This window comes from Homo sapiens, chromosome 7 (genome assembly GCF_000001405.40).
Source record: "Homo sapiens chromosome 7, GRCh38.p14 Primary Assembly".
In the NCBI taxonomy this organism is placed as follows: domain Eukaryota; kingdom Metazoa; phylum Chordata; class Mammalia; order Primates; family Hominidae; genus Homo; species Homo sapiens.
Window position 1 is genome coordinate 18,287,209 of NC_000007.14, and position 25,129 is coordinate 18,312,337.

The following is a 25,129-nucleotide window of genomic DNA, read 5'->3' on the forward strand; positions in this document are numbered from 1 at the left end:
TTTTTTTACTGCAAAGCCTTATTTGTTTATTTTAGAAAAATTAGAAAATACTGCAAAGAAAAAAGAAAAATGAAAAAATAATATATTCTTAGAGAATTCTCATTAACATGTTGGCAGATACTCCAGTTTATTCTATATAATTCCTATATACAATAGGGGATCAAAGTACTTGTTACACTGAATACCATACTCTGACATTACATATTTTGTAAATGTTGTTATATGTTTTTGATTGAGCAACCAGTAATCATGTTAGCCTGAAGACAAACTTTGCATAGTTCAAAGAGTGTTTGCCAACTCTTTTTTAAAAAGGAGGTTTCACATAAAAATCCAGATGTCCACCTTCTCTTGATAGATGGGGATTCTGTGCTGCTGGGGCTCAGAATCCTGGTTGGCCACAGTTGAGAGCAGATGGCCACAGTTGGCCTTAGCCAGCCAGAGCATGCACTCTGCATTCAGCGCATTCCTGCCCTGGTCTCCTTCACATCTTGATGTGCCTACCTGACTCCCAAAGCCAGCTGTTTGAAGGGTAGTAGTTTGTCTAGGGTAGTGCTTTTCAATGAGGCTGTACTGGCCCCTAAGGGAAGACTGGAAAGTGTTTTCTGGATGCCGCAATGCTTGGAGAGCACTACTGGCATTTAGTGGACTGCAGTCCTGTTATGTGAGAGGACTGGACCCGGAAGTTGTGTCCTGCATTTTCAACAATCCCTTTGGGTAGTCATATAGGTGAAACACCTGTTTATAATTATTTGAGCCTGGAAACAAAACTGGTTGCACATATAAAAATTGCTTTAATTCAATTTTAGTATACGTTGAATTTCCTAAGACTACAGCTACTGTATAATTTCAGGTAAAATTGTTCTTTGCTTTGGAAGGTTTACTGTGCATTGTTCACCATTTGGAAAACCATGTTGCTGACAACAAGGTGGCTCATGGTATTTGAATAACCAACACAGTGCAGCTCCATCAGTGCTCATTTGTAGCACCCTTGTTCAATACAACAAAAAGCAAAATTAACACTCCTTTAACATTTTTTATGAATAAGAAATAAATATCAGATCTTATGAGAGAATATTAATTCTTCTTTGTGTGTTCTTTACTTTTACCATCTATAATTTGCCTTGGCATGTTATCTAGACTTCAGTTACTCTTATTTTCCTTTTATCACTTGCCTGTAAGCCTGCTTTATTGTTTCTTATTCTAATACTAAATTTTAGCCTAATGTCCATGTAACCACTCAACCCTCCAGTCTTTCACTTTCTTACTCTTCTTGAAAAAGTACTGGCTGCTTATTACTTCTCTTTAATTCATATTTACTTGTTGGTAGTAGGGCAGGCATCAGATGACTTCCTCAATATGTAAGTTATGTTCATGCCTGGAGCACTTTATGATTAAAAAGAATATTATGTATAGAGGTTGTTTGTATAAACTATGAGCTTTGTGTTAGGTTAGTAAAAGCGGCATTACAAAATACTTGTTTTTAAAAGTGAAGCTTTGTGCTTGAGCAGCTTAATGCTCTAGGTGACCATCGAGAATATACATTGGTCCTAAAGAGGCTTACAGGCTTCTAGAAAGACATTACATAGAAATAAGTTATGCCTAGACTGAGAGGATGATGAAATATGCTCCAGGATTTCAGAGAGGGGCAAGTAGGTGTGTTTGAATGGATGAGGAAGGCCTGTGGATGAAGCCGAGGAGGTGCCACCAAACCTAGATGCTTGGGGAAGCTGTTAAGAGTTTTGGAGAAGGGGACAATGAAGCAAAGTTCTCTCCCTTTCTTTTTCACTTCCCCCTCTTCTTTTTCTTCTAGAACTGTGTCTTTTCTTCTTTCTTTCCTGAAGATGCAAAAGCCACAGATGTAAGTGAGAGGGACTAAAGCCAGAGTCATGACTATGAAGTATTGATTTCAGGTGTTTGTTCTCACCTTAAACTCAGACCAAATATAAAAATATGACCTTGGGGGCTTAGAATTGTGCAGTTTTTGTTCTTCAAGAGAAACTATTGGAGAGATCTCAGAGCAAGGCATTGCTTGTATTTCCCTTCAGTGTAGTACTTAGATTTTCATTTTCTTAGATCTAATTATAAAAGAGACTTAGGAGGTGGAAAATAAATTCAATAAGTCTTCAAAGTTTTTCCTTTCTTTATTTTATAAGCTAAGTATCACTGCATTGGGGGTATACTAAGAAGGGTATCAATGACAGAATTGCTAGTTTCCTCAACCTGCCTCAGCTTACCAAATTTAACTCTTTTTGTGAAACTATTACCACATGTAAATATATTTTAAAAATTAGAATTTCTTTGAAGAAACATTTTCCTAGCCAATCAAAAGCAAGAGCTAGTGAGGCTTCAGGATGATTTGGTTTTCAGACTTTTTTTTTCTAATGCCACAATCCTTAGATATGGTGGGAAAGGCACTTCAAAGTGAGTACTCCAGATTTAATTCAAATGCACCCATTTAAGTAGCTCAGAAAATTGCATCATCTAGGGTTCTGGAGTGACAGTGTTTTATATGTTGAAATCTTTTGGAGTGGGATTGAAACAGCAAAATCATTTTATTTCATTAAAATCGGTCTCAGCCTCTTCTTTTTCCTCTCATTCACCGCAGGCCTTTCCATCTAAGAAACAATTCATAGCTGCTTCTTCAGAGGATGTCTAATTTTCCCTCATTCAGAGGGACACATTTGGTACTTTGCCCTGTGTTTTAATTAGTAAGCTTCAGAGAAAGAAAGTCGTCAGAGCCAGGGCCCCCAGTTGTGGAAGTTTCTATATCCGGTAAATTGGATCCATTCCAGGGCAGAATCATTTATCAACAAATGAAACACCAGCCACTTCCCACACGTCCTCTGATTGCATTAAAAAATCACTCCCCTTCCTACCCAAATTGAGTATACTTAGAGTATGGAGCTGACAAACATTCTCTTTCCTTCTCCTCCTCCTCCTCCTCATTCTGTTGAATTGCTGGTTTCTGTAGTCTATTAGGCTTCTTATTAATAGTAATAAAATGTTCATTCATTAACTCTCTCATGCCTGCATACCAGCTATAGTAACTGTCTTTGCCCCCAAGTTATGCAGTCTTTATAAAGTCGTTCAGTAGCAGGGCAATGAGTTGGGAAAACTGATATTGCATCTGTAGCATCAGGTACTATTTAACCAGTGGGAGGGACTGATAAAATTAGCAAGTTGACTAACCACTTCCCTTCCTTGTGGCTCTTTAATATTATAACGGATACAGAAAAGTTCAGAAGGACTGAGCTAGTTTGCGAAACCACAGCACACTTTGGCAAAGAGGGAATGCACAACAAAACGGGTAAGTTTCTTTATTTTAATCTTTTAAGAGAACTGTGAAAAAGATAGTGGGGTAGATGTTTTTAAGTCTGACTCTGCAAATCGTCTTTAATAACTTGTAGGCTGTGGAAAGATAAACTTGTCATGCGGAGGGAAGCAAAAGGTTTTCCAATCAGTAACAGTAGCAACAACAACAACAAAAATTACATTGAGCAAAAAATTCAACTCTGAGAATGCCTTTATTATTTCAGATAGACAAGACTAAAGTATTTTGGGGAGAGGGTTCTTGAATTAGGAAAAATATTGATGAATAAGTTCCTGTACTCTGATTTTTTGAAATTTAGCCCGGAATTGTCAGCAGGGGCATTATCTACTGAAGCTGAATGTCCGCCTAGATCCTGAAACAGCTTAGTCTTCTGTTGTCTTCTTTGTGGTTGAAAATGTTTGTTGCTTTTAACTCCTTGATTATCAAAAATTTCAAACACAAGCAAAAATAGAGTGAATAGTATAGAGATTTCCCATGCATCTATCACATAGCTTCAACAGCTATGACTTCAGAGCCCAGGTTGTGTAATCCACACCTCTGTGGTACACTCCCTCCTTCAATCTAGTTGAATTGCAGCATTTTGAAATATGCCTATTGTGAACATTAAATAAAAGAGGCCTAAAGTTTCCTAAAGGCTCATACCAGCTCAGCAATATAAAGTTTAGAGAAATATTATTACATAAAATTGAATTATGAGTCATAGAAAGCACAAGTGAGTTTCCACTGGTTGTTTTACCAGTGGGAGCAGGAGTAGAGGATAGTAGATATTAAGACTGTAGTCTCTGGAGCCAAACTGTTTGGGGTCAAATTTGGTTCTGTCACAATCCAGTATCCTTAAGAAAATTTCTTAACCTTTCTGTGTCTCAGTTTCCTCACCTAAAAATGAATACAATAGCACTGATCTCCTGAGCATGAGGGATGATGAACCAGTGCATGCCAAGACTCAGAAAATTGCTGGGAACATAGAGTGCTCACTGTTTGTTAGCCCTACAACTGTTGGTCAAAATTATTAGAGTGATGGTAGGGTTGTGATTTGTCCAAGCAGAAAGCCAAAGGTTGTATCTGAGCATATTGGGCTGTCTTCTGACCATTGCTTTTCTCCTGATTATTTTATAATGCCAGGCTAGGAAAAGTCTCCATTGAGATATCTTGCTTGCTTTTGCACCCTGGGAAAACTCCTTGCTCTTGCTTTCCCCCACCAGCTCTGAATTAATTCTCTCTACAAACAAAAGTTATCTGAGGTTGTCTTGCCCACCCTCTCACTTTGAGGATGAGGGAGTAGAGATTGGTCTAAGCTCACAGAGCAAGGAGTAGATCTAATGGAAAAGACCCTGTCATGGGCTTCATGGACTCCTCTAATGTCTGTTTGGAGGGGCGCTGCAGTTGGGTTTAGGCAACACTGTTGGGCCTTAGAGGCTGCCTCATATCTGAGCTCTTATGCATCCATCTCTGATGTAGAGGTCTTCCAGGGCTGCAAGTTGCTCAGATACTTTTTTCATTGCTAATGAGAATGGTGAAATTCTGAGGATGGCAACAAATGGATGGTGAGGACCTTCCCTAAGCTATTTTTTTTCTATACTATAGTAATGGCTGTCATTTATTGAGCATTTACAATGCACCTGGCACTGTGCTATGTGGTTTTCTTATTTAATCCTCCCTATATCCCTATATAATACTTAATATTAATATCTTCATTTTATAGAAAAGGAAACTAAGGTGCAGAGAAGCTAAGCTACTTACCCAGCTCATAAGGGACAGCCAGGATTTTGTTCCAAGTCTGTCTGACTTCTTAGAGCGTTTGTCCACAAGAAATAGGTTTGTTCAAACATGTGCACTCGAAATGCATCCGTGGTTTTGCTCTTAGGCTTCCTGAAGATGAAAGTCGTCAGTATTCCTATAAAGCAAGCTGAATGGAAAACCTTTTCTCTAGTAATAGTTTTCCCACAGTGTATTTTCAGAATGCCTAATTACAAGCTGGAAATTTGTCATAAATTTTGACAAATACAGAGGCGGGTGGGGATGGTGTGGAGTTACCGCTGTAAAAAGTAAATATTGAACTGACAGGTAAAAAAAAAGAAATGCTCTTTTAGTAAATTAACCATGCTTCAGTGGTGGATTTTGTTTTTAAGGCCATTTGTCTCTCTTGAGTTTTTGTAGAGGAGGGTGAAATATATCTAAGTCAGTTTTTGAGAACATGGAGTGCTGTTGTAAAACAAATGATAAACATTGATGCGCTGCAGAAATAAAAATTGGCTGAATCTTCTGGGAGGTGCTGAAGAGAACTGGGACATGCACAGTCAGACATTTTAGAAACCTGGAATTGACTTGAAGTGCTTTATCTTTTACATTACGGGTACAACTGCAAAAATAGAACTGAATGTGTGAATGAAGAGAGAGGTTAATTTCACAACTTTGGAGTTTTTTTTCCCCTCCAATAGAGTAATGGTGTTTTAAATTTTTTTTTTTCTTCACTCAAGGGGACATGGTCTAAAATTTAGAGCTAAAAATGCAAACATCAGACATAAATGATTGACTTGCCTTTTATCAGGCAATCTGATACAATTTGCAATCGTTCATTTTTCCTTCGTTGGCTACAGTACTTTTGTCATCTTGACAGAATCAGCCAAGCTTTACCTATAAAAATATTGGAAGAGATTTGAAATCATATGATCTTTTTGCAGAAAAAGAAAAGGATAAAGGGAATTGCAGCTGCCAGTGTTGGGGGGAGTGAAGTGGGAAGGGTCACTGTTATGTCACATTCTTAGATTCTTTTTTTTTTTTATTATACTTTAAGTTTAAGGGTACATGTGCACAACGTGCAGGTTTGTTATATATGGAACCCATCATTCTCAGCAAACTATCGCAAGGACAAAAAACCAAACACCGCATATTCTCACTGATAGGTGGGAATTGAACAATGAGAACACATGGACACAGGAAGGGGAACATCACACACCGGGCATTCTTAGATTCTTAAACCTTTGAGAAAGCAGAGCAGCTCTTTAGTACTGGCCACTGCAAACCATCTTCCAGAATTGTTCCATCATCTTGGTTTTTTTCTTTTTCTTTTTGTCTCTAATGTCTTCATCTCATAAGAACATATTCACAACCTGTAAAGCATGGTTTAGGGTCGGAAATTTCTGTATTTGTCTGTCATTAGAGACAGATTCAGAGTGCCATTTAGCTTGTCAGTGTCCACTTCTTTGTGCAGTAATGTAATTTCTGGTGGGGTTGGTCACCCACGGGATTACTGCGTACTAGTGCCTTCATGTTTACAGATTGTTTTCTATCCTGATCTTTAACATTTGTCAATGCATTATGTCACTGCTATTATTAAATGTAAACATTTAATAAGTTTTAAAAATCAATAAACATTAGTGCTTGATTTAAATGCTTGATTTAATTATTAACTTAATAATCAATTTAAATTTTAATAATAAAATGTATTAAAAGTCTTGAATAGATAAAGCATTGTTTTCCCTTGAGATGAATTCTGTCTTCATTTGTTCTTTTGTCCATTTATTCACAATTGCTTAGCATCTCCTGCTGGAGATCCAGAAATCAATAATCACAGTTTGTGCCCTCAGAAAATTCACAGGTTTGGGGTGAAAAAGAGTTGTATGAAATAAGTGATGCTATAGTTCACAAAATATATTCTAACTACATTGTACTGTCTACATTGGGAGAGAGGGTGTGTGTGTATGGATAATCCCAGACCCTGGGATTAGAGAATCATGGTTCAAAGCCCATTACCCTCTGGTTTTGGGTATTTAACTAATGTTCTTATTCCGTGGTTTCTTCACCTGTAAAATGATACTGAGCTGCTAGGGGTGTTGTATTAATTTAACATGTGATACATGTTAAGTATTTATATAGCGTATCCTATAGTCTTTGGGGGATCAAGGATAGTTTCTCAAATGAAGTTAACTTTAAACAACCTGAATGGCATAGATGCTTCTAGTCACAGGGAACTGGATATGACAAAATGGAAAATAGTTTTGCCTCTTTGAGAAAGAGAGTAAAGGTCAGCATGGCTGAAACATGTAAAAAGTGGGGAAGTTGCTTAGAGGTACTGGCAGAATCCAGATCGTGCTGGGCCTAGTAGGTCATGTTATGCAGCTGCATGTTGTGCAAGTGCAATCAGAAGTGATTGAAAGGTTTACACGGGGAGTTGCATGACCTGAATAATATTTTTAAACTAGTTGCAGAGTGGAGAATAGATTCGTGAAGAGCAAGAGTAGACACATGGAAATAGGTTAGAAAACTATTTCAATAGCTTAGTCCAAAAATGATGGCCACTTGGATTAAACAGTGTCAGGGGTGTAGGGGCAGTGGACAGAGTGAGAAATACTGTATAATTAATAGGACTTGGTAAACAATTGGATGTCATTGGGGAGCATCAATTATGATCCTATGGTGTTTAGCAACTGGGTCTAGTGAGACGTCTTGTGTGAAGATGGGCAAATTGGAAAAAGCAGGCTTGGACTTCTCAATTTACATGCTTTTGAAACATTCAAGGGAAGATGTCAAGTAGGCATAAGATGTCATGTAGATGTTAACTGAAGCCATGGAAATAGATGTGATCACTCAGAGAGATGGGATGAAGTGAGAAAAGCTGAGGGCCCAGTACTTAACCACTGGAAATTCCAAAATTTAGAAGACAGAGGAGAAGCAGCCAGTAAAGGAGGTGGATAAGTCATGGTCAGAGAAAAGGGAAAACAAGAAAGTTGTAGTTTTTAAGGAAAACAAAAGAAAATAGCATATTCAGGAGAAAGGAGTGATTATCCATGTCAAATGCTAAGGAGCTAATAAATAATCAAAAAATACCATGGAATTGGTATCATGGAGCTCATTGACATAAAGTAAACAGGCAGAAAATATAATTTCTTTAAAATTGCATTGCATTTTAACATACTGACTAATCAGTTTTACTGTTGACTAATTGAATAAATATATGAAGACAATAAAAGAGACATATTATTTTCCCAAGTGGCAGTATATTTAGAAATTATCTTACTTCTATCTTTACATAACTGTATGGTATACAAGGAAGCAGTAATAAACTATGCTGGTCTAAACTTACTTCCTTGGAAGTGCAAAAGTACTTGAAATCAGCACTTTCTTCTTGTGTATTCCCAATATCAAGATTACCAGGTACCATTGCTGAGGGAACCATTTGCGTAGACCAGTAGTTCTCAACCGGGGGCAGTTTGGTACCCCAGAGCACATTTGGCAATGTCTAGAGATATTTTTGATTATTACAGCTGGCAGCAGGTAATGTAGGGGGCAGCATCTAGGGGGAAGAGGCCAGGGATGCTGCTGAATATCCTATAATGCACCAGACAACCCCCCACAACAAAGAATTATTTGGCCCCAAATGTCAATGGCTGAGAAACCTTGACATAGACTAATGCAGACCTGCTCAGTGCCTTGGCAATAGTAGATCTTCACTAGAATTTTTCTGCAGGAGAGTGGGAGATCCTTTACTGCCTTTTTTTCATGGTCTACCAGTAGGTTTGTGTAGTAAGTGATCTTTGAATTTGGTTTTTATCTTGAAACTTCTTTGTAAAAAACAACGTGAATAAATAAAAGTATTGTGTACTCACGTGAATTACCTCTGCAGAATTTTCAATAGAATTTATTTATGTGGTTAAAAATAGAGGACAGTGCTCCACCCAGTGCATGTTAGACTTCTTACAGCAGAACTGGCTTCCTTATGCAAAGTTAGTTCCTATGCTGAAGTGCATTTTAGAGAAGTTTCAGTATTAAAACATACTTTAAACATTTAATAGATTAATTTTCTTTAAACCTGTAAAGATCTACGTCTTTAAAAATAATAAATTTTATTTTCTCTTGATTATAACATAATTCATATAGCTCATATTTGTGTGTGTGTGTGTGTGTGTAACTATAATAAACTCTTAGATACCTATAACTAACGCAGGATATGGAATTTAACCATTATCAATAAAACCTCCTTTGTGAATTCCCCTCTTGGCCAAGGAGAAACACAATTCTAAATATTTTGTTTCTTGTTTCCTTGTGTTAAAATTCTACTACATATGTATGTATCCCCAAACGAAGTATGAAATTAGTTTTTAAAATGTCTATGCCTGTAGGATGGATTGGAAAGGAGAGCCATGGAAAAAATAAAACAAACTCAATGGCTATTTGAGAAATGCAGACACATGGCTTTGAGGCTTGGCACCAAGCGCGGGGGCAGTGGCACCATTAGAAAGAAGTAGACATTTCTGTGACTGTCTGCCTCTGTGGAGAAAGGGGGAGCCTAAGGTCAAGATGACAGTGGTTTAAACACAGTGTTAGAATGGAGGTTTTATGAACAGAATCACAGAAGGAGGCAGGGGACAAGAAGCACACAGGCTGAGACAGACTTTGTATGCGGTGCCTTCTTTCAGGAAGATTGAAGTGCCATGTTTATTGTCTAGACTTGTACTTGCCATGGAAGCAGGACATCTGAGAGCTTGCTCTGTCTGGGCAATTCAAGATAGAGACTTAGAGACGTCATTGTTGAGCAGTAGAGCTGGAGGTGAAGATTTGAGAAACTTCCGTGTAGGTACGAGTTGAAGCCACATGAAAGGAAGAAACCTGGGGACAAAAAGCTTAGGGAATGCCCATAGCTAATGGTGGTATTTAAAACACATTATAAGCTTTTGCTGTGGCTTTTGCTTATTTTTATTTAAAAACTTTTTTATTTAAAAAACTTTTAATTAAAAACTGTTTTATGTCCACGTATAGGCTTCCTCGGGCTGTCTTTACAATATATGTTATGGTAGGGGATTATTAGGCTGGCACAAAAGTAATTGTGGTTTTTGCCATTAAACGGAGTGGACCAAAGAATTTTGCACCAATTCTTTGGTCCATGTGTCTGCATTTCTCAGATAGCTGTTGAGTTTGTTTTATTTTTCTGACTGCTCTCCTTGCCAATCCATCCTACAGGCATAGACATTTAAAAACTCAAATTTCATACCTTGTTTGGGGATACATAAATACATAGTGGAATTTTAACAACATGTTAAATGTTTGAATGCTACAATAACATTCTAAACTAGGTTAGATTCTTGTGACAGTAAATAGGATGTTATGGTTTGGCTTGGAATTCTTGTAAGACTTGGCACAGTTTTTAGTCCTGATCCAAAGGAGTTTAGTCATCAGAAGAACCACCAGTGGCACAGTAAATGTCAGTGCTAGGTAAAAATGTGACATCAACAAAGTTTGTTTCTAGGGCTGCCATTCTCCTTTTTGTTAGTTTCTTTGGTCCTACATTTCTTCATCTTCACAATAAGAAGTTGGTCTGGATAATGTGTCAAATCATTGCAAAAATGTTCTATGCTTTTTAGCCTTAATGACGTTCCATCCTGCCTAAGGCCTGTGCCTGGGGGATTTCACTCTGCCCTTTCTTCTCTCACAGGCCATTTAAATGTTACAGCTCTAAATTCGTTTTTCTCAGAGTCCTGCTACTTACTAATGCTAATGTGTCAAGTCTGTATTATTTCCAGTAATTCACAATACACTATGATTGGCCTAATATATTCACTCCCAGATGGCTTCTTCACTGGGGGTTTCACTGCCTGAACCTAAAGTGGTGCTCAATGGTAGCATGGCAGAGGTAAGCTAAACAGGGTGATATTGTTATTATTTATTTTCACAAGTACTTTTCTGATCCATATTTATCTAACCTTTATAAACATAACATTAGAAATGTAAGACCTACATTTTTATGTTTTTTTTTTTTTTTTTTATTATACTTTAAGTTTTAGGGTACATGTGCACATTGTGCAGGTTAGTTACATATGTGTACATGTGCCATGCTGGTGCGCTACACCCAGTAACTCGTCATCTAGCATTAGGTATATCTTCCAATGCTATCCCTCCCCGCTCCCCACCCCACCACAGTCCCCAGAGTGTGATATTCCCCTTCCTGTGTCCATGTGATCTCATTGTTCAATTCCCACCTATGAGTGAGAATATGCGGTGTTTGGTTTTTTGTTCTTATGATAGTTTACTGAGAATGATGATTTCCAATTTCATCCATGTCCCTACAAAGGACATGAACTCATCAATTCTTACTTGAGATAATTTTCAAAAGTTTTTACTTTCCAGTCAATGAACTTTCTTTGTTTAGCTTGTATTTGAATTGACTGTTCTTAAGTCAATTTTTATGTGACAGTGTTGCTACATAGGACACTCTTAGTCATATAGCTATAGCTGTGAGTTGGTTTAAATATCCCATATAAAAAGTTATAAAAACAAATAGTAAAGCTGTTATTATGAATTTACCTATAGGAAAACTGAAATTTTATTAAAAGTTTCATATCAGCATTTTGTGATTTTGTAACAACACCGTGAACGAAAACCCAGTAAGTAGGAGGGAAAGTGTTCTGTATTTATAGTTAGGATTGTATCTGTTAGATTCAAAATGATGAGTTAGATTTTAAACTTATTTTGGAGCCCAACTATTCTTGAGTTTCCAAATGAATAAAGATATTTATATAATAAAAATTCAGTTTATTGTTGAAAAATGAATTAAGATGACAGTAAATAACCTCAGGTGTAGGACTCTGCATTGTAAAGTGGTACATTTAATGTTTATGCAAGAGTAAGATTTTTTTAAAAATTTATTTTAAAAAGTGATTAGCACCTTGGCTGTACAACTCTTAAGATTTTTTTTTTTTTTTTTGCAACACTGCATAAAATTTGAAGTATTTTTTGCTTCAAAATTTGACCTACTTAGAAAAGTTCTGATAATTCCAACGTAATATATTCCTTGTTTTGTAAGCGCCTTTGGGTAATGTATTGGAGAGACAAGTAATCTCATCAAGAAGCGTAATGGACCCTATCACATTTCAAGATATATTTTTTTTCCTAGCACTTCTGCTTCAAATTTAGTCTGTGTTTAATGATACCACACTTTACTGGCGAGGGTACTTTTCCAGCAGTTTAACTCTCTTTGCATACAAATGGTGTTTTGGGTCTGGCTGCCATTACTGATCTTTTCCTTGAAATGAGGTGACATAATTTGATTTTTTACAGTCAGGAAAAAAAGGTTTAGTTCACCTTGAGAGGTTAGAGAAAGAAAGGTTATCATTGAATGAAATGCATGGCTTGATGCCATTTGTAAAACAGGTTGGTGCTGGCTCAAGAAGGCAGGAACAAATTCTAACTTGGTTGAAAAGTATGATTGGCGGAGGGGTAAAGGAAAATCTCCAGAATTAGTCATTCAGGGGCTCTGCAATGTAGATCTGAAGCAGTGCGGAGAAAAGGCTACCAATCCACCTTCATCTTAGCAAGCAAGCACTGTTCCTCTTCTTGATTCCAGGGAGCTACGTATTTTAGTCAAAGATGTTAAATTTTGAAGGCTTCTCAAGAGACTGTCATGACAAGCAAGATATTCTTTATTATCTCCTTTTGTTAATGAAGCAGTTGAGGTCCTAAGAGACATTAAGTGACTTTCCCAGGAACTCAGATACCACCACCCTAAAATTCAGGTCTTCCTCCCCTTACAGCAGCCTCTCTCTAGATCAAGCTTGTCCAACCTGTGGCCTGCGGGCCATGTGCAGCCCAGGGTGGCTTTGAATGCAGCCCAACACAAATTTGTAAACTTTCCTAAAACATTATGAGATTTTTTTGCAAATTTTTTTTTTTTTTTTAGCTCATCGGCTATCATTAGTGTTAGTGCATTTTATGTGTGGCCCAAGACAGTTCTTCCAGTCCGTGGCCCAGAGAAGCCAAAAGATTGGACGCTCCTGCTCTAGATATACTGACTTTTCCAAGGAATGACAGGGGTTAAGATCCGTTTTTAATTGGTTCCACTCCTGGTGGAAGGCTTTCTTCTATACATGTCAGGTTTTCTTTGACTTATCAATACCTTCATGAAGAAACAATGAAGTGAAGGACATTTTAAAAGCAGGTTGTATAAGCCACTAAAAAATTTTGAATAATGCCTAGTCTCTGCATATAAGTAAAAAAAAAAAGCAGTTTAACAATATGTTAATTATATGTAGACATTATTTTTATCACAATAAAATTAAGACATACTACAAGAACAGATTGACTTAGTTTTTCAGTTTGCAATTATCTTCCCAGTTAAATATAAGTAAAGATCTTAATAAATGTAACATTAAAGTTCTTGAACTATATACCACACACCATTCCACATAAACAGACCGGTTATATTAAAACTAGCAAAGCCGTATTTTGTCTGTGCTTGCTAGAAAATAAATTTTGCATATATTCTAGAAGACAAAGATGATTTTGTATATGTAATTGACAAAAAATACTTCTAGGAAAAATATAATTATTGTATTAAAGGTTATGAAATGGCAGTTGAAACCCCTAAAGTCATGGATTCTAGTTAATACAGTATAATAAGGGAGAGCTCACACTATTCCTCATGAATCATGCTGAGAAAACTCCTGTCAAATAAAGAATTATTAAGTTGAGTTAAAGAAATTAATTTGTTTCTTCAAAACTGAAGTTAAGAAATGCAAACATTTTTTTCTCTGGATGAAAACACTGTTTTTTTTTCCCGCAATGCAATTTTATAAATAAAAGGTTTATTGCAAATGTATTTTGATGACCTTATTATACTCATTTTGTGTGAAATTATTTAAAAAATAATATTCCCTCAAGTTAAATTGCTCAATTGAAACTTCTCGCTTCTCAATATAAGCATCAGAATAATACTTTAAGGTCATAATATCAGAAGCTATTGACTAAGTGATTTAAAGATAGAATGTCTGTATTCTCAGATGGAGCAAATTAATTTAAATATGGTAGTTGAAGTTGCATTTTATGATAGAGCAGGACATTGTTGTCGTGTTTTTTAACCTTAACCTGAAAATAATTAGAGGAAAAAGCAATCTAGATACATTATAGATTTTTTTTTATTGCATAAAGTGATTTAATCCTCTGTTTTATTCCAGAGACTTATTTAGGTTTCATTTACTGTCCCACTGGGATAGTAGATAGCATAATACTTTCTTTCTTATTACTATCTAAGTATTTAAATGCAGAAATGGAGATGAAAACTTTGACTCCTACTGCATTTGAATGTATGAATTTACATATATAAAAATGTACAATAAGCATGTGTATAGAAAAAATCAGTTATATTTTTTGTAGCTCTTGCTACAGAGACCAAGAGATCAAAATAAATCTGCCCTCAAATGAGAAGTGCCAGCTTCTTCGCTTCCCATTTCTCCCACCAGACACTCATGTTTAATAATGAGAATGAATGAATGATGCAGTGGATAAAGGTCTGTCTTGTTAATTAGATGTTCTCAGATAATGAAGTCTTAATACACCTGTGTTTTCTATATTCCCTCTAAATCACCATAGAATTCAAGAAAATGGATCTTGTATAAATCTTCAGATCTATTTATTTTTGTGCATATGCATTTGACCAAGTAATTTATTTAAATGATTTAAATGTTCAATGACTCTACTGCTTTTGAAGTCATATGTGTGGTTCTTAAAAATTTAAAATACTCAGGTGTTAAGAACAGCAGCCTTACCATCAGTTGGTGATTTCCTTAAGTGAAAATTGAAGAGTTTAAGGGTGCAAGTCATACAGCAATTAAGTAGAAAATGTACATGTGATTAATAATAATTCCAGTCTACTTGTTTGTTTGCACTCTTGGGTCAGTGCTAGTAATCTTACACACTTAATTGACACTTGTGACATATGCCCATATGCTTAGTTCTCTAATTGTGGTTCTGAAGGGGACTTACTTGGCATATGTAGTTTATATGCATCATCTCAGTCAGAAAATGGGAAGGAATCCAGATGATGATACGAAGTATGCAATGTTATCCTTTGGTGAAGACATTGTTATTGTGTATGGTGTGGCTGGATATGAGGGTTGAGGTGTCAAAGAAGGGCGTTAGTCTTGGAGCCAGGAAGATCTGGATTTTTACATAAGCATATTATTAGCTACCTCAGTGATATTTGCAAACTAACTTTACCTTTCCAAGTCTCAGTTTCTTCATCCATAATGCCTTCTTTGTGAGGTGGTAGTAAACTAAAAGGAAAAAATTTATGTAAAGTTTGAACCTACTTTCTAGAAGACGTGAACAAATTGACTTTGCCTTCATTTGTTTCAGTTTCTTCATCTAAATGTCTAGTCTGTAAGGCAGTAGGAATTGTATGATGAAGTCATTCTGTAAAGCTAGAAACAAACCTTCTAGAAGGCATAGACAGTGTCTAGTCTATAGTACAGTGTTTGGGGCCTAGGGAGTGCTCAGTAGTCATTTGAGTGACTTTAGGCACTTAGGATACTGACAGATATTAAACAAATATTATTTCTGTGATCTTCTTTTTCCAGAGTTCTTTAACTGGTTGAATTACTAGTTAACAATAGTTAATCATCTCAGTTAAGTAACTTTTTCCTTCAGGTCTTATTTTGTACATATATAATATATAATATAAAGTGTTGTTTGTCAATTGTTTTTTTTTATGACTTTTCCTAAAAACATGATTTTACTGGATGCAGTAGCATAAAGAAGCCATTAAAATATTGATAGTTTTTCATAGAAAGGGTAGAACACCAGTTAATATAAAGATTAAGTGTATAGTAAATTCACCCCACCTGTATTATGGTCAAGTCACTAGCATAAAGCTATTAAGTTTTCAGAGATGGCAAATGGGTAGTTATGGAATAAGACTCTTTTTTTTTTGAGACGGAGTCTTGCTCTGTCGCCCAGGCAGGAGTTTAGTGGCGCGATCTCGGCTCACTGCAAGCTCCGCCTCCCGGGTTCCTGCCTCAGCCTTCCGAGTGGCTGGGACTACAGGCACCCACCGCCACGCCCAGCCAATTTGTGTGTGTGTGTGTGTGTGTGTGTGTGTGTGTGTGTGTGTGTGTGTGTTTTTAGTAGAGATGGGGTTTCACCGTGTTAGCCAGGATGGTCTCGATATCCTGACCTTGTGATCTGCCCACCTCGGGCTCCCAAAGTGCTGGGATTAAAGGCTTGAACCACCGCGCCCGGCCGGAATGAGACTCTTACATTTACGTTGAAAAGCATAGGTGCTGGAGTCCATGGTAAGATTATTAGCTGACTACCAAATTTCATTCCTTCTTTTTCCATGGAAACAGTGCCTAAGCACGTGGCTGGCCAGCTAGGCACTATGACTTCCAGTTCCCATTTGAGATAGGTGTGGCCATGTGGCTGAGTTCTTATGAATAGAATGTGAGTGATTTGGCAATTTGTGTCACTTCTGGATCTGTGCTTTAAGATGTTAGTTAGGCTCCATGTTCCTTCCCCGTTCTGCTGGCTGGAACCTCACATGGTTTTGGTCCAGTGTCAACCTTCTGCTGTAGCAGTGTTCTAGAAATGTCAGGGCAGCAAGGTGGAAAGAACCTTGGTTGCTGAGGTCCTGCCAACCTGAAGTGTTACACAAGAAAGAAACTTCTCTGTTGTTTACAACACTGTATTAATTGGTTTCTTTGTTACAGCAGCTTAGTATAAACCCTGCTTGATAGAGAGTCCCATAGAATTTCGTTGACCTGGGCTCTGCCCAGCATTAGCAAAGTGTTTTGAATCTCCAAGCCCCAGGTTCCTCCTGTGTTACATGGTACTATTGTGAGATTATACTATATAAGAGTTTAAAAGTTCAGCATTTAAATATACCAGGGACTGTACTAAGTGCCTTCTATACACTGTCATTTAATGTTCATGACTAAGTTATGAACTAGAAATTATCTGGATTTTATGGATGGGAGCTTTGAGGAATGATGAGTGTAAATTACTTTCCCAAAGGTTTAGAGCTGGTACTGATAGAGCCAGGTTTTTAAAAAGCTCAGACTACCAGACTTCAGAGCTCATACTCTCAAGCAATACCAGTAGCTCTTAGCAAAGTCTTTGGAAAATATTAAGCATTCCATAAGTGCTAATAGTATTATTAATTCTTAGCAAGCATCATGGAGCCCCTGTTATAGGTAAAGTAATGTGGGTTGTGTTTTGGGGACCCTCAGGCTATTTAGCAGGGGACACAGATGTATAGAAAAGTCATCAGAGTACATGTACTGCATGAAAGTTGAAAAAAAGTAGGTTCTCTTTGACAAAAAAGTAATAGAGATCAGTGAATCTCAGAAACTAGATCACCTACCATGCAATCACAAAATATGCCATATTCTACACTGTTGATATTAAATTAATATTTAAGGTCCATACATCACTTTTTAATGGGGGCAGAGTGCGTAAGCCATTTTTACGTATTCCAAGACTTAAGAATATGTCTTGTGATTTCTCTAAGAGAAATTCTCCAGCAGATCAGAAGGATAGAACCCTCAGTGGAAAATGTATGAAAATGATCCATGCTGCCCTGGACGTTCACATATGCCCCCACCCCCACCTCTGCTGTCCCCAACTAGTGAATCCTTCCTAACACATCCAGATGCCATGGTCCCTGATTTTATTGGAATAGGGTAAAAAGTTTAAGAACTGGAAATTCTAAATTGTGTTTCTTTATAGGATAAGAAATCAGTTTTTTGCTCACACACTCTTCCTTCAGGGCAGGAAGACCTTCTCTGACCCACCAATCTGGGTAGCACCTTTCCCTCCTGGTTATTCTCTTTTCCAGAATTCTGTATATTTCCTCCATAGCCCACTTTTTATAATTGTAATGTTTGTGTTTGTTTTTACTGGCACACTGTGTATCTTTTTCCATCTTCACTCTTGATGATAAGTGCCACAATAGCAAAAATCGTATACCCTCCACCAACCAGTGCATGTAGATATCCTAGGCCGGTGCCTGACACATAGCAGGTTCTCAATAAACAGTCATCAAATATGAAAATACATGAATAATATTAGGTTTGAGTAAAAGAAAAAGAAATATTGTTAGTTTCCCCACTTTCTCGACTAATTCTGAAAAAGGAAAATGAAAACATGTTCTGGAATAGTTTGCTTCCACTGAAGCTAGAAATCCACATTCACATTTGCTGGTCCTTTCACCTTCTTCCACTGTACCAACCCATATGTGTCCAAAGAAACATAACTCAAAGCTAAATAAAGCATGACTCCCCTTTTATCATCAGGTTTTCTGGTCTGTAAGTCAACCAGAGAAGTAGTAATCTAGAACTGTTTGAATGACACATAGTTCTGTTGTACCCTTGTAGAGCACACAAAGAAACAAAGTTTCTGATCTCTGGGCAGGGGTCTAATAGATGAGAAGACAAGACATATGCATAGCACACCATGTAATATAGAGTGAGTAAAGAGTGCAGGCAGTAATTGCTTAAGGGTTTAGGAAAGGAACTTGGTACAGTGGCCTGGGCTGATAAGGTGAACTTGGAATGGGTTGGTGAAGGGAAGTACTTCCCAGGTTTTGAGGGACTAACTGGAACGAGGAAGGTAACCTGAGCCAAGATGAGTGAGCTAGAACACCAAGATGTATTTTAGTTTGAATTTATTCCCGCCCTCAGCAATTCACTCCCCAGTCCTGAGACATGGAATGAAGTGTAAGTTGTTTATTTGGGAGGAGATCCCAGGAAACTCCAATAGGGGAAATGAGGCAGGGAATGGAAGGCAGCCAAAAAACAATATGTTATCAAGTAAGTTGGTGTGCTAGGTAACTAAAGCTTAATTCTGCTGGGGAACTCTGGAAATCTCTGTACAACAGGCACACAGGGTGAGGAGCTGGGGTATTTCAATACCAACTCCTGAACATCGTTATTAGTTGGGGGCTGCTGTGGGTAGGACTCAGACTATGGGTGGGGATGTTAATTCCTCAGCACTTCTGGCCACTGAAAAATACATCCAATCGTTACAGTTAGAAGTCAATGTCTGGCCAGTGTGTACTGCAGTCGCAAAAGCAAGGAGATATGGGTGGACTGTTGATAGCATCTGCTATGATGTGTTTTCAGAAGTAAATCTGAGTTTTACCCATGCTCCAGAAATATGTTTACATGGTTTTGAAGTAGCAGCCTTTGTAGGAAAGAAAAGATGATAGTAATCTAAGTTTAATTAAGACTGAGTAATATAGGGGTAGTTTGGAATTGACCAATAGATTCTGAAGCCTTCTACACATACTTTTGGTCTCTCTCCAAGTGGTGCTATTCGTGCTGCTGGTAATTACTTTTCTTCAACGCCTTTTGATCCAGGCATTTTCTTGCTTACGATCTTTGGATGGATATTCATGCTGGCAGGATTAAGTCTTAACTCCTCAGACTTTAAGATTTCTACAGTTATTTCAACTGTTTTTCAAGCTTCATCAATATTGCTGAATATAAATTCTTCACTCCAACCAGACTTATTTACTCACACTCCTTTTTGCTTGTGCTATTTTGGATTTGCGAAACACCCCCCACTTACTTAAATTCTTTCCATTCTCCATGTCTGTTTCCAAACTCCCTCATGCAGCCATCTCCCCTGGTCATCTGAGCCAGCAGGCTGAGATCTCACTTCTCTCGTGGACCTCATTCCACAGTTAACATTGTGACATGTATTCTATCTATTAATGTGAAGTTAATTTTTTCTTATGTTATTAAATTTATTGTGTGTTTATATCTTGGCCCTTCAGCTACAGGAGGGCAGTTCTTGTGTGTGTGTGTGTGTGTGTGTGTGTGTGTGTGTGTGTGTGTGTGTTTGTATAGGAGGAGGCAAGAGTATCTTTTTTAAAGCCATACCTCTCAAGTTCAAATCCTGGCTTCCTCATTTATGAGCTTTGAGTCCGTGGGCAAGTAATTGACACCTCAACAACCATGAACATTTATACCTGTTAATCCATGAGTACAAAGGGAGGGCACATAAATGAAAGTTCTGACGTGTATTAGAAAGGTTCTGAATATGAGAATCATCTTGAACACATTGAATTTTGTGAAAATAATGGTAATTGTTCAAGACCATTATAAAAAAATTCATTTCCCCCAAAGTTCTTGTTACCATGTCATTTTCACAAATAAAGTGCTTGCTCTTTCTTAGATTCTAAAACTAGTTTCTAACATTATAAAATCAAAATTATTGCCTGGTGCCATGGCTCACGCTTGCATTCCCAGCACTTTGGGAGTGTGAGGCGGGCAGATCACCTGAGGTCAGGAGTTGTGGGCCAGGCTGACCAACATGGTGAAACCCTGCCTCTATTAAAAATACAAAAATTAGCCAGGTATGGTGGTACATACATGTAGCCCCAGCTACTCGGGAGGCTGAGACAGGAGAATCCCTTGAGCCCAGGAGGCAGAGGTTGCAGTGAGCCAAAATTGTGCCGCTGCACTCCAGCCTGGGTGACAGAGTGAGACTCTGTCCCAAATTTTTTTTAAATTGTAAAATTGAAAAAAATCGTAATTATTATTAAAGTCATAGTAATATTTTAAAAACAATTATCACACATTAACAAAACAGCCGATGTCACTAACACCAAAGGTCAGGGTGTGGAATATATGCACCAATGGTTCTCCATCTGACTAGATATACTTTCCAGGAAATGAAAATACTTGGAAGCTTTTCAAAAAGTTCTAGAAGAAAAACCATTTCTGATACCTACAAATATACATGTATATGAAAGTGTTACAAATATAAAAATACATGTTTTCAAACTCAAATGTAATTTTAAGAACTTTGCCTTAATTTATATTGCCAAGTAGCTTAAACATTTTAATAGTGTCACTGACTGATGTTGATTGTTAAAGACTTCATCCAATTTACGAAGTTGGTTTTAGCAATCTATATGAACTAGGTTAATTAAAATGTGAAATTTGCAAAACCAAGCCTACGTAGAATACTTTTAAACATCAGAAGAAAATAAATCACTGTTGTAGCCTTGTTTCTTTCATAGTTATATAAATTTGCTTAACCATATACAAGAAAAGAACTTTTCTTTTGAGGAAAAGGTACACTCGAACTCTGATCTGTAATTATTTAAGCTTTGGGCACTTCATAGCCTAATCATCATTTGCTGTAAATATACCATACTCCCTTTCAAAATGATATTTAATCTGCATTTAGTACGTGGTATTGGATTTTACATTTCTTAAAGATATATAAAAGTTTTGGTGTACTCAGTAGGTGATTGAAGATGTGCTACTTCATGGAGAAAAATATATTAGGTGTGTCTGACCTGGAAAGAATGTTCTATTAATCTTTTTCTTGTGTCAGATTTATAACAAAAAGAAGTGGAAACTATATTAAGCAAGGATATAAGTTACATATATATATATGTGTGTACGTGTGTATATATATCTGTAGGATATGAAAAGATGTTAGCCATTATATTTTCTCTTATTCTTGCTGTTCTCTAATTTAAACTCAAATTCTGGGGATTCGTATGAGTTTTTATGGGTAAATACTAAGACAGGAAGATAGGGTTTGTTGAATGATCCCTTCTTCAGATCCACTTTATGATGCAGGCTTTACCTGTGTGCATAGATGTAGAAACAGGTCCAGAAACACCAGGGAACCTGAACAAAGTCACATGGCTGGTGAGAGGAGAATTCGTGTCAACTCCAATTCCTTTGGAGAATATATGCAAATTATCTGCTTGTGTTTGTGGAGATCTCTAAGTCAATCCATATTACCCACATTTCAATGCATAATTGTGAGTTTACTGAGACTTTGACCAGAAGTATTGTAAAGCTGAGCTTGTTCTATGGCGTTTGGGAGGAGTTGAAATAAATCATTTCAAGGACAATGAAATGTTCAGCCCAAGGTACACTCGTCCTTGGTTTAAACACCCATTTCCTTTAAGGACTTTCTAATGAGACCTTGTGGATTTTCCAAAAAATATACCGTGCCAGTGGCAGCTTATTCACCTTACTTACATAGTTCGAGGAACTGCTTGTTTAAATTTAGATACTGTCTCTGATGAAATGTTTTGACAAAGTAATACCAGCTTGATACTATTTAAAATATTTTGACAGATGGGAAAATTGTTTCAGTCTGAGTTGAGCAATACTTTATTGCAGTATTTTGTGAGTTAGAAAAAAAATGGTAAAGGTAGCCTCACTGTTCCCCAAAATAACATCCTTCCATTCTCCCTGAGGAGAGAAAGGCCTCTATTCAGTCATAGATTACAGTATGTGTGCTGAGTATGTTAAGAATTCACACAGTTTAAACAAGAGGGAACATTTGGGGACTGTTTCCAAACAGGGAACATTTATTGTTCTATAAGCAAACCGAACCTAAAGAACTTTCGGGAACATTTGTTGTGGTAGCATGTTATCAGAGCCTTCTCATGCCGTGATGAGATTGTTCTCAATTAATAAAACTAAATCACTAGATTTTAAAACTGACTTGGATGAAAAAAAAAGCTCAAATTTACCTACTTCAATATCTAGAGTTTTAAAAAATATGCTATTATAATAAAAAATATTTAAATATTTCACATTAGTTGCAAAGGATGAAATCCAGGTGGTCCTTGTTTGTGATATTAAACAAATGTGTTGAAGCAATGTGGTAGGGCAGTGGTCCTCAAAGTGTGATTCCTGGACCATTAGAAATGCAAATTCTAGGCTTTCTGGTTCAGACACTGGTGCAGCCCAGCCATCTAGATTTTTAACTCGTGTTCCTGATCATTCAGATGCACACTTTAGCTTGATAAGTGCCCAGATAGTGTAGAGACTTTCAAGCTATCCCAAGGCCTGCCAGATTGGAAAGAGGGAGGACTGTGGTGGGGGGGTGGGGTTGGGGGGAATGATCAGGAATGGTTCCCAGGCTTCCCCATGTCCATTTCAACTATGGGAACTTTGATTTTCTGTTTTACGTATCACAGAGTTTTATGTTGGGCTCTGTGACTACACGGTTTTGAAAAACACTGGGATAGATATTTCTTTGGAGGACGATATACCATGGCCCAGAAAATCTTTAGAGAATAACAGCATCTCTGGCTGTGTTCACATCATTTTAGCAATATGTGTGTCCTGAAACTGAATTTGGTCAGTAAAGTAAGAGTTAGCCTGTGTGTCAGTGACAGCCTCATGTTAACCAGTCTCCTAAGGAACACATGTACAAATCAGAAATGCCAGTTGTATTTTTCTAATTACAATCAGAGGCATAACAAAAAATTATGCATACACTCACGTTTAACTTCTCCTGATACTCGCACTGTGCACAAGTTAACATTTAGAGTTGGGAATATCCCAACAATCCCTTGTCCAGTGATTGAATTGTCCATGATACCAATTCAGGCCTCCACCTTTGATATATACCTGCAGGTGTGACATAGACATCATACAGCATTGTTAACTTACAGCTATAGAATCAGGGGAAAGAGAAGTTGACATTTTCTACAGATTTTTATCAACTTGTACAAATCCATTACACACACACACACACACACACACACACACACACACACACTCTCTTACTAAATTGCTGAGGGCCGCTAAATTCAGTGTCTTTCTGAACCATGTTATACAAATCTACTCTATTATCTCTTTCAAATTTCTATTTCTAAAAAAAGTTATATATTATTGATGGTTATTTATATAGATTTTTAATATCATTAATTAAATTGTAATAAGATCTTTATGTTAATGTAACTTTTTGCTCACATCAATTTTATATTGATATTATTTGTTTACCTCTCAGTTCTGGAGAGAGGTGATGATGATGATGATGATGATGACAAAAATAGGTTACTGTTTTTATAACAAGGATTCTGCAGTTAACATTTAGAGGTCTTACACAGTACCAAACAGTGTTCTAAGTATTTTATATTTATTAATACTTTTTATTCACACAGCCTACTTATGACAAAAGCCTTTAACCTTTTGAACATAACCCCCAATGAAAAAATTGAGATTTGGTACATATATACTTCCTTTATGTATATATTGTATATGATTAGGAAAAGAAATAATGAATCAACTTTTATTATATCTAATAACTTGTGAGTTTTTATTCCCTTCCATTTTATTATGTTTAATTTCAGTTTTAAAAGTCCAGTTGAGATTCAGAAAATTGATTTCATTACTCACATTAATAGTCACAGCCTGCAGAATAAAAAATTGTGCTATCAGATAGATAATATTATTATTTATATTTTACAGATGAGGAAATAGGCACAGAGAGGTTAGGTTAGTTGCCCAAATTTACATAATGAGTGGCAAATCCGCAGTTCAAACTTAGGTAGTCTGTCTCCAAAGCCCTCGCTCATAGTACTATATTCTGTCTTACCTAGTCAGCTCCTTCATATTCTACTACTGTCAAGGAGGGATGAACCAAATGGGGAATGTTTTTCTCCCAAATATGGGGACAATATAGTGACAGCCTCAAATTTTCTAAATAGAAGGATTTAGAGATGAAGGAATGGAGACTGGCTGTAGACTGGCGTTAGAGCTACTTTTCCATTTGAAGGCATCCTTTTATTTAGGATGTGTGTTTGTTTTAGGAAGTATTTGTAAAGAGGCTGATGGAGATTACTGTGGGGGGAAATGGCTTTTGCCACTGAACCACCCTCTTGGCACTACCACGGGAAATTTATTTTAAACAATCTAAAGAACAGTAGGTGGAAAAGATGTGTACCCAGATTATGTGGACCTTCCTGGTGAATGAGGAGAGGACAAAGTGATTGTAGGGCCTATTGTCCTGACTCCTTCTAGGGCATACAGTTAGAGGTGCAGGACTGCTACCATGGCTGCATATTTTTGAACACAGACATATTCTTTCCCTGGTGCTTTTAAATGTGATTTAAAAATATGTGTCAGATGAGCAGGCACAAAATGCAAAGATAGGAGAGCCATACAGTGAAAAATCTATTTCTCCATCTTTTCCTTGGTTGTCTCTCTTTTCTCTCTCTTTCCTAGAAACAATCACTGTTGTCTCTTTCTTGTGTAGCCTTCCAGA

General features: G+C 37.0%; 1 protein-coding gene across 8 annotated transcripts in view; it reads left to right on the forward strand.

Moving 5' to 3' along the window:
* HDAC9 (histone deacetylase 9) overlaps positions 1 to 25,129 on the forward strand; it is a 915,592-nt gene that overhangs the window by 200,384 nt on the left and 690,079 nt on the right. The window contains exon 1 of one of the 8 annotated variants that reach the window (NM_001321896.2): positions 3,241 to 3,307. The exons of the other annotated variants lie outside the window; for them this stretch is intronic. The gene's annotated coding sequence lies outside the window, so the exon portion shown is untranslated. Of the gene's footprint in view, positions 1 to 3,240; positions 3,308 to 25,129 lie in introns of those variants that run through there. 8 annotated transcript variants of the gene reach the window in all.